The sequence below is a fragment of the Homo sapiens genome, chromosome 8 (assembly GCF_000001405.40).
Source record: "Homo sapiens chromosome 8, GRCh38.p14 Primary Assembly".
Lineage (NCBI taxonomy): Eukaryota > Metazoa > Chordata > Mammalia > Primates > Hominidae > Homo > Homo sapiens.
The window spans coordinates 112,675,727-112,691,181 of NC_000008.11; the positions used below are offsets into that span (position 1 = coordinate 112,675,727).

The 15,455-nt window shown below is 32.9% G+C and overlaps 1 protein-coding gene across 9 annotated transcripts in view; it reads right to left on the minus strand.

Moving 5' to 3' along the window:
* CSMD3 (CUB and Sushi multiple domains 3) overlaps positions 1 to 15,455 on the minus strand; it is a 1,214,012-nt gene that overhangs the window by 452,799 nt on the left and 745,758 nt on the right. For all 9 annotated transcript variants that reach the window (NM_001363185.1, XM_017013010.2, NM_052900.3 and 6 more), the window contains 3 exons: positions 14,142 to 14,324; positions 9,680 to 10,006; positions 6,716 to 6,910 (listed from right to left, as the gene is read on the minus strand). In NM_001363185.1, the coding sequence (NP_001350114.1) occupies positions 6,716 to 6,910; positions 9,680 to 10,006; positions 14,142 to 14,324 (705 nt within the window). The remainder of the gene's footprint in view (positions 1 to 6,715; positions 6,911 to 9,679; positions 10,007 to 14,141; positions 14,325 to 15,455) is intronic.

The following is a 15,455-nucleotide window of genomic DNA, read 5'->3' on the forward strand; positions in this document are numbered from 1 at the left end:
AAATCACAGGGACCAAGTCTCTTTAGAGAAGAATGGTATATCACTTTGGCAGCTGTGTTGAGAATAGAACTGAATAAAAGCAGAGACAGAAGCAGTGAGAGCAGTTAGGGGGCTACGGATTAATTAAAGCCAGAGACAAAGGTTGCTGGGACCAAGATGTCAGCAGTGGAGGTAGTAAGAAATATTTGGGTTTTGAATGATTTCAAAGGAAGAGCTAGCCAGTTTTTCTGATGCATTATCTATGGTTATGACAGAAAGAAAGGAGTCAGGAAAGATTTGATAAAGACCGAAGAATTTTGGCCTGAATGACTGAAATAATAGAGTTGCTATTAATAATGGAGAAAGTGAGTGACAACAGCAGGTTTAGAGTGACGTGGGGAGACATATCAGTTTCAGACAGGGTAAGTTTGAGATGCCTATTAAACACTTAAGTGCAGATGTGGAGTAGGAAGTTGAACATATAAGTCTACATTTCAGGGCAGAGAACCAGGCTAGAGATGTAAATTTGAGAGACAGCGGCATGTAGATATTGTTTACAGTTAGAGACTGATTGAAAAATCACCAATGAAATGAATGCAATAGAGAGCAGAACATATCCAAAATGTAGCTCTGGGACATGCACTTAAACAGATCACAGAGAGGAGGAGAAACCAGGAAAGGAGACTAAAATGAGCCTGAGTAGCATATTTAATAAAATAAAATTTAATAACATATATAATTTTTAGACTTGTCTAACTTATTTTTCCATTAACAGTTAAATAATTGTATAACTTTAAATTATTGAGGAAAATTTGATTTTAAAACAAAAATGGTATGAATTTCAGATTCTATAACAAAATAATGAATACATTAATGCATCTTTCATTTTTGGTCTGCAATAAAATCCTTTTCAACTTTCAATCTACATGAGTATAGTTCAGTAGCATTTTATTTTAAAGGCATTCACCAATGAATAATAAATCTTTATATTCAGGAACTGTTTCCTTCTGTGGCTGCAACAGAGGAGAATTAATTTATGTCCAACTGTCTTGCTTTTTAAAACAGAAAACTCTAGATGACTTAGTCCTCACTGCTTGACACTTAGAAAGATAACTTTCTTGTTTTATACTACATCTCATGGCCTGGTATCCCTTTCAAGTTCTTTTGGGATTCATTGGCTGGCTTATTACTGGCAAATTCAGAAGCGGGCATTATAAAGTAGAAATGTAACTCAGAGAGTAGCTGAGAATATATGTCAAAAACTTGCTGTCTCTCTTCTCGTTGTTTTCAAAATCAGTACATAATTTATTATAACAAGGTGAAGAATTTATTCACCAAGCTTCCAAGGAGACAGAATGTCAATCGAAAACCATCAGAATGGAATTAATGAATCTTTCCTGGGTGCAGAGTACAGTGGAGTGGATTTTCTGGTAACTTGAGGATTATGTGTGTGACAGAGGGACTGAATTCATGTGAACAAAGACATGGGCCCTGGAAAGGAAAATAGAAAGGGAGAGAAGAAGAGCTTAGTGATGGGAGGACTGTGTGTGTGTAAGCATGGGGGAAGACAGGGAAATAAATGATAATGATGATGGTGGTGATGATTTTTACAAGCTATCTTGAATGGTGGGTGAGAAGGGGGAAAAGATGGCCTAGAAAGGTATTTGAGAAGCCTTCTGTTTACTTCATTGTATAAAACACTTGCATCCTAACTCAAAAAAAAAAATCAAAGTAAAAATCTCTGTTATTTATCAATGCTTCTTAAATAACTTTGGTCTAGTTCCTGAGTCTGACTGAAATGAAATCATACTAGATAACTGAGCCACATTAGGAGCTAAATTATTAGCAAAATTGTACTGTCTCATGGTAAAAATAGGATAAGACATGAGCAGAATATCAATGCAAAGCCAAAAGGATATTGCAGAGAGTACTTTGAATTTGAAATGATCATTTGGGGGAGAATGCACAATTCAAGATATGATGTTCCAGCTAGACTCTAGGTGCTAGAGGATTGGACTTAAACAGTGTTACACAACTTCACAACAAAAAATAGTAACTCAAGAAACTTTCTCCTGAAATAACTACTTTGCAAAATGATTCTTAAGGCCCTAAAGGATACCCAATTTCTTGAGACATTGGTGTGCTTTCTTAGAAGGAATAGAGGTTGCTGTCCAATATATGATTTCTGAACTGCTTCACTGGCCTAGCACAATGGATTGATTGTGGCTCTTTTCTAATGTCCATGAAGGTATTGTATAAGCTAATGGAAACATTGCTCTCAGTTGTCAATAATATAATTTTTTGTATTATTTATACTGTTTTTAAGCACATATTTATCTATAATTATGTCTGTATAAAAAGTGGGAAAATACACCTGTCCATTGGGAGGGTAGCCTGCTTCCTTTAGCCCATCTAATTCATTTCTGTTACTTCCTTGCTCCTGTTAAGCATTTGAGATTATGATTCCTGATCTGTGGCATTGGGCATTAGGTGCTATCTGTAGACTCAGATTCACCAAAACTACCATCCAGTCTAGTGGCAGTTGGCTTCACCAACCTAGAGGACATAAATATCTAGATGAAGTTGAGTTGAGTAAAAATTTTGGAAAGACATTTTCTGCCTGTGTGTTAAACTCACAGAACAAGTTAAAAGCAAGACATCCACTAGGAAGAAGTATTAAAAGATTGGATAATCAAAAGTACCTGCAACAAGATGATGGCAGAATTACCTATAGCTAATTTACCAAATAATCACAGACACTCTCCTTTACAAACTGATCTCAAGAATCTGGTAAAGCAAATCAGAGCTGAGAAAAATAAGTTAATTATGGCTATAATTAAGAAAGAAAGCCAAGTAATGATGCTAAGATCATTTAAGGTAATCTTTAAGTGGATTGAGGTTCTGAGTTTTCAAACAAAAACATTTTATACTGATTTCCATTGTTCTGTAAGTTCTGATTAAAACAAAATGTTCTACCTTCTAATTTTAATACACAACAATCCATATATATATATAACTTTTAACAATGAATTTGATTTTGAAGAAAATAAAATAGAAGTAGAAATTTAGTTGTATTAACCAGAAAATACCAACATGTACCTTTAAAAAGTTATTCTATTTGAAATGTTTAATATGAAGATAATTTAAAAGTTTCAGTGAAAATCTTAAGGATGTTAACGTTTGTTAACATTTGTAAATGTTGGAGGCTGCGATAGTGCCCCAAAGATGAACAATAATAAATAATAAGAAAAATTTTATCTGTAAAAATATAGACTGTCTACAGAAAAAAGGAGACAGGAGGAGTAGCCTCCCAACCATAGTTCTCTATGTAAGTGGGAGTGGCTCTGGAAGTTTCAGGAATGGTGGGGGGATGGGGCAGGTTTTTTTTTTTTTTTTTTTAAATTAGGAAAAATAAAAATAAGCTGAGGCATCAGTTAGTCTCAGGCTTTAATTGTTAGTACCTAAGTAGAATTCAGGCAAAATGAAAGGAAATCAATATAAACCTTAATTAGAGGCTAAGAAATCAAACCTACCTGAGTTAGTTATAGAGTTGACAGCAGTCTGCTTTGTTGGGTGGAAACTGGCTCAGAGGTGGTTTGGGATAGAGTAGTAACCTGGCAAGGGCCACCCTAAGATTGCTTCTGGCCCACTCCAGTTCTGCCTTCCTTGGCTCCAACCTCATCCTTAGTGATGTTTCCACCTTGCTATTGGGTCCACAAACAGGCAGGTGTGCCAACTGTGTGTCATTTCACTCACACATAGAGAAAAACAATTCTTGTCCATCAGAAACTTCATAAGGGTTCTCTTAGGGATGTGTGGAGGGCTTATTGGCCTTTGTCAAGTTAGAGTTCTGAATATTTTATCTTACTTAATTTTAAAAGTTAAATACCATTTGTTTTTCACAGATAGTAGAAAATCTCCCTGAAATTGCTCTACATAAGTAGTGATTCATTAAATTACTGATTGACATTACTAATTACTTTTACCTCCACCATGAAGCTAGGCACCAAGCAACCCCAAAACCAATGCCCAAGTTAGGCAAACGAGGATCCAACAAAATTCAAACTTACCTAGAAGTGGTCTCTGTATGTGTCGACTGAGATTTAAAACAAATTTCAGTGCAGGGGAGGGTGAGGCTCAGATAATGTCATTTCCCAGCTGCAATGGCTCCTGTTTAGCCACAGGGTAACTTTGGAGCTACTTAGCATTATTTAAAAAGGGTCTAATGCTCTGGACTTCTCTAGTCATTCATCAGATCCAACTCACTGTGTCCTCCCCTGCAGTCACACTGAACTGGCTCTATTCCTTTTGCCTGAAACACACTTTTCTCTCATTTCCTACTGTTGCTTCAAATACTAATGTGTGGCCGTAGGGCGTGGTGGCTCGTGCCTGTAATCCCAGCACTTTGGGAGGCCGAGGCAGGCGGATGACCTGAGGTCAGGAGTTCAAGACCAGCCTGGCCAACATGGTGAAACCCAGTTTCTACTAAGAATACAAAAAAAATTAGATGGGTGTGGTGATGTGCACCTATAGTCCCAGCTACTCAGGAGGCTGAGGCACAAGAATCTCTTGAACCCGGGCGGCGGAGGTTGCAGTCAGCAGAAATGGTGCCACTGCTCTCCAGCCTGGGTGACAAAAGCAAAACTCCATCTCAAAACAAACAAACAAACAAACAAACAAAAATGCTAATGTAGATTTTTCTTACTGGTTCCCCAAAGCCGGATCAAAAACTATGTTAAAAGAATGAATGGGCTCCGGCAAAAAGAATGGTGGAAAAACTAAGTATTACTATCCATATTATCCATTTTCCCTTTTTACTTTAGTCCATTATTGTGTAACTCCACTATGTTTTTAAAATACCATCATAGTCATAATTATTGACAGAGTAGCCCCTGCTGAACCCATACTATTTGAAGTTTGAAAAAGAACACTAAAGTCATCTAGTTCTGCCCACCTGATATTACTAATGAGAAAGCAGTTAGTAGTAAAAAGAAGGAAAGCATTAATTGAAGGGGCCACTAGGAAAACATAATTACACGGTCTGGGATTACTTCATCATGAGACATTATGAAAATGTTCAATCCAATGAAAGTCATCAATATATAGGTAATGCTTCAATTAAATTTGTTGTACTTTGGAAAATTACATATTAAATCTTCTCAATTTATCAGCTAGTCAGTTTGGAGACAGGTAAGAGGAAAAACTTGGAAAATAAGAAAAAGAAACTGCTTTTAAAATAATCAATTATTATATGACAATCTACTAAAGGTGTTAGACAGTTATAGTTCATCTATTTCTTAGTAAAAGTTCATTTGTATACTTTTTTCCTTTTTCTTTTTTTTTTTTTTAAGACAGAGTCTTGCTCTATCACCAGGCTGGAGTGCAGTGGCGCGATCTCAGCTCACTGCAACCTCTGCCTCCCAGGTTCAAGCGATTCCCCTGCCTCAGCCTCCTGAGTAGCTGGGACTACAGGCATGTGCCACCACACCCGGCTAGTTTTTTTTCTTATTAATATTATTATTTATTTTAGTAGAGACGGGGTTTCATCATGTTGGCCAGAATGGTCTCAATCTCCTGATCTCGTGATCCGCCCGCCTTGGCCTCCTAAAGTGCTGGGGTTACAGGCGTGAGCCACCGTGCCCAGCCCATTTATATCTTTATAATAAAATAGATATGTATTATTAGATACTATAGTGGAAGGAGAAATTAAAATTTAGAATGTTAATTCCTTCTGTGGCAAATCTAAATAAAGGTCCCTCATTTCAGTAGATTCTAAATTGATATACTATGTAATTGATGTTTTACTTTTAATTATGATCATCCTTCCTTCTTACCAACATAATCTGAGATTTCATATGAGTGTATATATACAAAAATAGGCCAAGAGCAGTGGCTCATGCCTGTAATCCCAGCACTTTGGGAGGCCGAGGCAGACAGATCACTTGATATCAAGAGTTTGAGACCAGCCTGGCCAACATGGAAAAACCGTGTCTCTACTAAAAATACAAAAAATTAGCTGGGCACGGAGGCATGCACCTGTAATCCCAGCTACTAGGGAGGCTGAGGCAGGAGAATTGCTGGAACCTGGGAGGCAGAGGTTGCAGTGAGTTGAGATTGCACCATTGCATTCCAGTCTGGGCAACAGAGTGAGAATCGGTTTAAAAATAATAATAATTCCAAAGATCATACATATATATCACACACACACATATATATGCCTTGAACCTTGTTGACTATATTTAATTGGAAAAATAAAAACTGAAAAAAATTAGCAAATGATGCCTTCAGAAATCATATATTTTAAATAAATGGGTGTTTTAGCTTAAATGTATTTATTATAATTGATCATTATTAACACATTTTTGAAAATTAGTGTGTACCATGAATAGATAACATACCGAGAAAAAATGAATGGAAACTATAAAGTGTATTAAACTATAACTAGGAAGTATACTATAGAGAGTTTACACATGTGACCAATATTTACCATTCATTAATCTTTATCTTTTAATAAGAGCTTTTTTTAAAAGGAAGCTTCTAAAAGGTTTCTAAAAATTTGTTTTAACATGAAAAATTAAAAGTGTAATTTCCTTAACAAGATATGTTTAATATAGAATATCAAGAAATGTTTTAAGATAATGATTATGACAGTCCTGGTAGGATAATGTGTTTCTTGTTGTGGTTTCTTGTACATAATGATGATGAGGTTCTATTTCTCACTCACTACTACACTTACCTCCACATTTTGGAATCAGTCCACTCCACATTACTTTTCCATCCATAAGAATACATGTAATTGTTTCTGTTCCCTGGGTTTTAATAAATCCTTCTTCACAAATAACTGAAATTGAACTTCCTAATTGAAAGTTGTCCCCAAACCGCCGTGCATTGATTGGTATTCCAGGATCAGGGCATTCATTATGTCCAAATGCTTTAGAATAATATGCAAAGAAAAATACACAAACAAACAACATTAGCCAGAGAGAGATCCTTCTATATTTTGGAAAAGAGAGAGAGAGAAAGAGATATTTTAAAAGGTTGTGTTTATTTCTACACAAGTTTTTATTTATTTACTTTAAATTTGGAGGTTCTCCTCTGACCTTACCTGTTTGCCTGTGATGTGCAATAAATGTGAATGTTTTAAAATGTGAATTACACTCTAAAATTATAAAATTTCAAAACAGAATTATTTCTGCTTATTTCTGGAGACCATGAGACTAGCTAAGATTATGAAAATATTTCCAGTATAAGCTGGTCAGAATTTCAATTAATTAAAATGCAAAGCAATTGACAGAAGCATTAGTATGTATTCCTTTGGAAACTTTTATTTATTTTTCTCTATTTCCAACTGGAAATAGAGAGAGTGAGTCTCATCTTGAGAATTAAAGTGAAATGTCTCAATCTAGTATGAAACTGTTACAACTTTTTAAATAATTTTCCATGACATTTATTTTCTGCCATCTGGGAAAAAGGAAGAGAGTTAATTCTTTCGCAATTACCATGTTCCAAGCACTGTGATATGTTATTATCTCATTTAATATTTAGAATAGCTGATGAGGAAAGTATTGCCATCTATTCAAAAGAGTAATGTTAGACTCAGGAAAAGTTAAGTAACTTGCCTAATGTCATAGAAATAGGGCTTCATAGGATTGAAATGTATCCCCTGGACCGGATTTTAATTTCTTCTCAACAACCTATTGTATCTTGGCTTATTTGTCTCATGTATCTCAGGAGAACAGGAGTTCTTGAGCTCAGGGCCACTATCTTATTCTACCTTGTTTGTCTCACAGTTTATATTTAGCCAAGTTACAGCAAATAGCAGGAGTATAATAAAAATGGGTTTATTTGAATTTTTCATAGATTATAGATTACATGAACAATCCAAATTTTTCTCTGTATTCATCTGAGTGACCAATTGTGTATTATAAAATTTTAATGTATTACAATATAAATGGAAGAATATTTAAAGAGGCAAGGTCTACATGTGTAAAATATATTTTATGAGATGCTTATAACTTATTATTATATTCATACTGCATTAGTACATGCAGTGATTTTAAATTTTCTCACTAATCATCACTTTGATGCTGGTTATAAATTGTATAATTTTACTATCTGTTCTCCTTATTTTAAATGAAACAGTGCAAAAGAATATTAAGGTACGTTTTAGAATACATAAAATATGTTTTATATGTATACATATTTCTAATTATTATTTTATTTTGTAATTTTAAAAACTCAATTTTGATTAAGCAGTGTAACTCTAATATAGAGTACCTGGTAGATATTTTTTCAGAAAAAATGAATCTCATTAGTAAGCATTAAATAAAATAATTTGCACATTATCAATTAAATTATTTACTATAGAACAGAACCAGGAAAAGGGAGACCTATTTCCATAATACCCTGAAAAACTATCAACATTAAAGTTAAAAATATTATGCATTTAAGACAAAATAAAAATTATAGATAGATAGATGCATATACATGTCTATCTTTAGACATGTACATGAAGTATTTTTTAAAAATTCTCAAAGCAGTCATTTTATATAAGTTTCTATGACACATGTCACCGCTAATTTAACTTTAATAATATGCAATTACATGTTTACAATTTACAGCGACACTATTCACCACTAGTATCACTTTGAAAATACAACAACTACACTTTGTCTGCCAAAGCTTAACATTGAATAGGTGAGGGTGGGAGTGAAGTGTGAAATTCTTTTTATAAAGCAACAGGAAGAGCTGGAAACTAAATCCTTTTATTATGTGACACTTAAATATTAACTCATCCAATTGGTCAATATCTGACACAGTGTAAAAGCTTCAAGGAAAAGCAATAAAAATTACTAGTATTCTATGGCTTCAGGTATATTTGCAAACAGAAGCATTAGTATCTAAGTGTTATTAATCCACTAAGGTTTTTTTCTTTTTTATGTGATTCATCTTTTTTCTATGATTATAAACATTTTTGCAGATAAATAATATTTAACATCTCACACAACAACATAAGATGTCAAGATAATTGTTCAAAAACCAACTAAACAATAATGGCTAATGTTTATTAAGCTTTTACTAAGTAATATGTACTCTGTGCTAAATTATTCACATGCATCACCTAATTTATTCTTTATAGCAATCCATTGTGGTTTCACTAATGTGAGTACTGTGGCTCAGTTATAAAACCTAAAACAAGGCTAAGATCCAAAGTTAATTATTTCCTTTTCTATGATGCTACTGTAGCCATGTGATTTTTTCTTTGGAATTTTAATTCTATGCCATGATTAGTTGTTTAATATCTATTGGTGCATGAATATCTTTAAGGGAAACTCTATTTCTCTTTTATGTTGCATACAAATAACAAAGTATGTGATCAATAATAGGTTTGGGTTTATGCTAAGATATAAATATGTTGGCTGATATAACAATTATAAATATATTGGCTTACATAATAACAATATTTGAAACATATTTCCTTGATATTGGGCCTCTCACAAAAAAGGAAATGTATTAATATAATAGAGAGTAAAATGTGATTGGAAATGAAGGAAGAAATGACCATCCTTGGCACAATGAGATTTACAGCTTTTACAAATTTTCTTAACTAGGAAACAAGGGAACCAATATACATGATCACTTTTCAACTCAAATTTATAGAAATATATTATATGGGAAAAAAACAGAAACAGAAACTTACTGTTGTAAGTGATGTTAAAGCCACGTCCTGACATTGAGTGGTCAGCCTGAAATTCCAATCGCAGTATGTGACTATTACTAGTAAGATGGGAAGGCACCTCAGCCCCAGTAAAGGTTCCAAGAATTGGGGATTCTGGAGAGTCACCATCTTTAACAGCAAGGAAATCAAACTGGGATTCCAGGTCAAAGTCATTGAAAGAAAGATGTATCCGGCTCCCTGGATCAGAGATTATCGTCCAGATGCAATTTAAATTATTTCCATACCCTTCTGGGTAATCAGGAGAAAGAACTGTTCCCATTGGTGCAGTAAAGTTAGACAGGCAGGGAACTGGTGAAACAGGAAGATTATGAAATACAATAAATATTCAAAAATAATATTTCATCTTATTTTGTCATATTCTACAATTATGATAATCAATTAGCAGTATAAGATAATATTAAATTATGTAAATTATAAAACAGAACAAAACGGTTACCATTTTTACATATTGAAAAAGGCAACTAGTACTTTGGATAAACTTAAGGCTCTACCCTTAAATAATGCACAAAAATATAATTGGAATAATAGCAATTTTTTGACATATATCTTGTTTATGTTAGACTGTATAAAGTGTTCATTTCAGTGTTTAAAAAGTGAAAAAATATACAGAAGTTCCCATAGAAAGCAATAAGGTTCTTGAAATGATTGAAGACAAAAAATATTATGTGGATATTAACAGAACAAGAATCCGGTAGCTCAGAAAACACTCAAGGGGATGGTTATCAATGTGTGAGTTCCATTTCTATGGTGGCAATGGATGCTCTGATAGTTTACTACACAAATAAGGAGATAAACTAACTTCTTTAACAGCCATTAGTGGCTAAAACCTGAAGAACAGCTAAATGAGAGCTCTTGCCATCACACTAAAATGAAGTCTTTCTCCTCCAGTTTTTTTAACTTTTAAAAACATGTGATTTGAAAGTTCACATAGAACATTTAGAAAGCAGAGGAAAAATAAAGAAACAGAAAAGAAAATGACATACTACTCAAAGGAAATCAAAGTTTAAGTATTGATATATTATCTTCCAAAGTTTTCATTACATTTTTTTTTTTTTTTTCTGAGACGGAGTCTCATTTTGTTGCCCAGGCTGGAGTGCAGTGGCACCATCTAGGCTCACTGCAACCTCCACCTTCCGGGTTCAAGAGATTCTCCCACCTCAGCTTCCGGAGTAGCTGGGAATACAGGCACGCCCACCACGCCCAGCTAATTTTTGTATTTTTAGTAGAGATGGGGTTTCGCCATATTGGTCAAGCTGATCTCGAACGCCTGACCTCAAGTGATCCACCTGCCTCGGCCTCCGTAAGTAATGGGATTACAGGCGTGAGCTACCGTGCCCGGCCTTTTATTACATATTTTTTAAAAAATTGAATTCCCTACATTTTGTACTAAATTATGTTTTCCTTATATTTAATATGTGAGTTTTTCAAGTCGAGTTTTTAAGCAAAATTTATACTTATTAGTTAAAACTCTCCTCCATTAATTTATATGGACATATAAACATTAATTGAACTGTTCTTCTAGTGTTTGACATTTAAAATTGTATTTTAAAATTTTTGCAATATAAATAACACTGACTCTATTCTTGAAGAAAGCTTTTTTGTTCATTATTTCCTTGGTATACATTTTCAAAAAAAGCACTTAGTATGACAAAGGATATGAATTTAAGCCTCAAAACATTTTGCTAAATTTCTGATTTAAAGTTATTTTGACGTTATTGAAAAATAACAGAAATATCAGAGAATACAACACCCGTAACAGTATAAAATATTGTGATTATTTTCCTTCTCCTCCATTGATAAGAAAAATGATAACTCATTGTCTTAACTCGCATTTCTTTGACTACTAGAGAAGTTGAAGATTTCTTACTTTTGTTAGACATTTTCATTTTCTTTTAAAAAATTATCTGCTCATAAACTGATCATTTAAGTTTATGATCTCTTAGTTTATAATATGCATAAAACTTTCTCATTATTTTGTAATTTTAGTATTTTGGCATAAATTATTTGTTTTAATTTGAATATTAAAATAATTGTTCGCATTTCTTACAATCTTTTAGCATCATATGTTTTATTAACATTCAGACATTATACCAATATCTATTTATCTACACAAATATAAAACCATAGGTATAGCTGCATCTACCAACAGATATATCTCTCTTTATAACTTTTATCATTTTATCATTCAAAAATATTTTGTACTTTGAATCTATTTATTTTCTGCATAATTTTATGAGTTGAACTGAAGCTTGCAAACTGACAGTCATTGGATTGAATTCAGATTGCAGATGTGTTTGGCTTGATTTTTTTTTCTTCTGCCCCCATAAAAATTTGAAATCACATTGAAAAATCATCATATTTCATATTTAAGGGGAAAACATCTTTTATTCTAGCTTATCTTGAAAAGTTAAGGCACCCCAGTTTCCTACCACTTCCAAAATGGGTGCACACATACTTACTCCTAATCCCTCTTCACACTGTTTCCTGCCTGCATCCTGGAATAATTTGATCCTATAACTCCTGATCTAAATTAAGGGTCGGAAATCTTTTTCTGAAAAGGAGTAGGTAATAAATGCTTTGGCTTTGCAAACCATACGATCTCCTTTGCAACTATTTAATTCTGCAATTGTAGCTGGAAGGCAGCCATGCACAATCAGTAAATGAAAGTGTTTGGTTATGTTCCAATAAAACTTTGCTTAAAAATACATGGAAAGGAGGATGGATTTGGCCCACAATCTGTTTGCCATCTCCTGATCTAAATGATCCCCACTTGGAGCAAGAGCTAACCAAAGACACACTTTAATGGCCCTTATCAGATAGATAGATGCTTATATCATACTTTAAATTCTTAATTATATAAGATGCAGTTTTTATGTAACTTCCCTTCACAATTTGTTAGTACCACACTCATAACTTAAGATGATACTTAAGCATCCACAGAAGCACTTTGCTTTTACAAAATTCTTGTATCTACTCCTGCCTGTTTTATTACTTAGCTATATGTCAATACAATACGTCAAGTTCCCAGAAAAACTATGTTAGAATTTTGACTAAAATTGCAAAGCAATTTCTGTATAACTCATGTATTTGAAATAGTGATTTATCATTCAGGAACATGGCTTCTATCTGTATTTCGTTCTCATAAAATTTTATTTTCTTGTAAGTTTTATAATTTTTTGTATGAGTTATTTGAAATATGTGAGGATTATTTATTTGTATTTTATAATTGTATTTTCTGAATGTATTCTCTTTTAAATGTATTTCCAAGTTAGTTATTACTGGTATATAAAACATTATTAATCGCTACATTTTTATCATATATCAGGATATCAGACCTAATTTTAAAATAGTAAAAAATGTTTTCTAGTATTCAAGAATGTTTTAAAAATTGGTTTTAGTCAGCAAAATTTTCAGTATTTTCACTAAATGCCTTTTGGAATCTGTTAAAATGCTCTTAAAATATTTTTATTTTTGATGTGATATATTACACTAATGGATTCTCCAGTATTAAGCCAACGTTGTCCTCCTAGAAGAACACCTAGAATTAAAAATTGTCAACAAAAGTATTTTGAAGTATTACTAAGCTTTGGTAAATCGAATCAGATCCTCCTAATATATTTTCTTCTCTTACAAGAACTTCACCAAGTAATCTTGGTTAAAGATAAGAACTAAAACAAAAGGGGACTGTGAAGGGGACGTATGCACTTTTCCTCTTCTAGACTTCCTGAAGAGCAAACACAATATATTGTTATTAGGGAAATTTCTGCCAGATTCTAAAAATATCCACTTCATTTTAATGTATTGAAGACAGCATTTAATTGAGCACACCAAGTGCGTGAATAGGCAATACAAATTATACTTTTGCTGTAGTTAAACTGCAATATCTTAATGTATTTGAATACATTATTTTAATCCAAGCATATTGTATATCATTAATGTTAATGAATTGTATTGTATGCAATATAAAAAAATGGCACCTCATGCATTAGTGTTAACATCTACAAGCAAAAATAAGTTAGTGCATTATACATACAATATAAGCTTTAAATATTTTAATGTTTTTGATTGCAAATAAACATATACTATCTTATTAAAATAAATGAGTCTATTAGAATTCATTCAGATGTATAATTTCCATAAGAAGTATGCTCTCTAGAAAGTATAAAATGTCATGAAATAAAATGTTGTAAGAACACACGTAATATATATTTTGCCATTACCAAGTGAACTATGTTAACTTTATTTAAATCTGTAATAAAATTTATAATTTGGCATAAGCACACTTGTTAAAGATAGCATCACAAAGTGCTACTCACTCAAAAATAATTACACGGTTGCAGCTCTTTGCAATTAATTACAAAAGCAATTATATGCAAGGACAGGGTAACATATGCTATCTGGAAGCAAAGCATTTGGTACTCACAGATACAGATGGGTATGTTTGCAGACCATTGGTTATTCTCTTGACAAACAATGGATTTCTCTCCAATTAATTCAAACCCAAACTGGCATTCAAACCTTAAAACATCACGATTAGAAAATCCATCGCCTTCTCTAATTCCATATAAGGGTGTACCAGGATCACCACAACTTTCTTTCTCAATTTCTGGAAAAATAGAAGATAAAAGTCACCTTCCAAGGGTTGCAGGCATATGATACCCATAATACAAGTTAGGTAGATATATGCTCTTTGTTGTGGAGATATTTCAGAACAAAAAATAAATATATTCTCCAATCTTTTTTTTTTTGGCCATTCTTACAGGCATGATAAAATGATCTTTAGATAATAATTAGTATATTTCTTTCTTTTTATATATGAAGAATCTGAGGTTATCAGAGCTAATGAGGTGCCAGAGGCCATGTACTTAACAGAAAAATTATGATAAGATCTCATATTTTCTCTCTGTACTACATATATACATAAATGTACACACACATAGACATAAATGTATATTTCCCTCAAATCCCAAAGACTTTTCTTATTCTTGTCATTTCTACAGGATACGGTAAATCCCTGAATCATGACCAGGACACGAGGGAACATTCTCTGTGTCTATACTCCTACAGAAATCAATGAATACCTCTCACCTAAGATCTCTTCCACACTCTGGTACTAGTTGGTTGAATTATTTTCCCAACTAGACCCCCCCCCCCAACAAAAAAAAAATCTTCTCAAAGGAAGCAATCAGTTTTGAATTCCAAATTACTCAGCTATGTTCCTTAATAAATGTTTCTTGGATGAGTGGAAAGAGATTGAAAAAAATATTTTAACACCATTAAAACAACCTTTGAGATGTATCCAAAGAAACTTCAAATATCTGGGATCATCACTGTTTAACTATGAATGTTAGCAGTAAATTATTGTGGTGGTTGATTTGCCTTAAAAGTCACATAAAATCTTAGTAATACAGTTGTCTTCAAACAAACAATAGTAAAAAAAAATACAAATTAAAAAAATGTAACTTTAAGATAAAGTTATAGTCTCTCCTGACACTCAAATATCGACACATTGCTAGTTCCTCCGTTATCCACTAGCATCGATTTAATGTGTATCTTTCCAGTTCTTTTTTCAAGATGTATAATTCCACACAGACATATCTAATATGTAACATTATAGAAACCTAAAAATTATCTTCACAAAAACTATGCAGTATTGTTTCATGTACATCATACTTTAACTTTTATTATACTGTCAATATTATTTTCTTTCTCCTTTTTAACCAAACACTATGTTTTA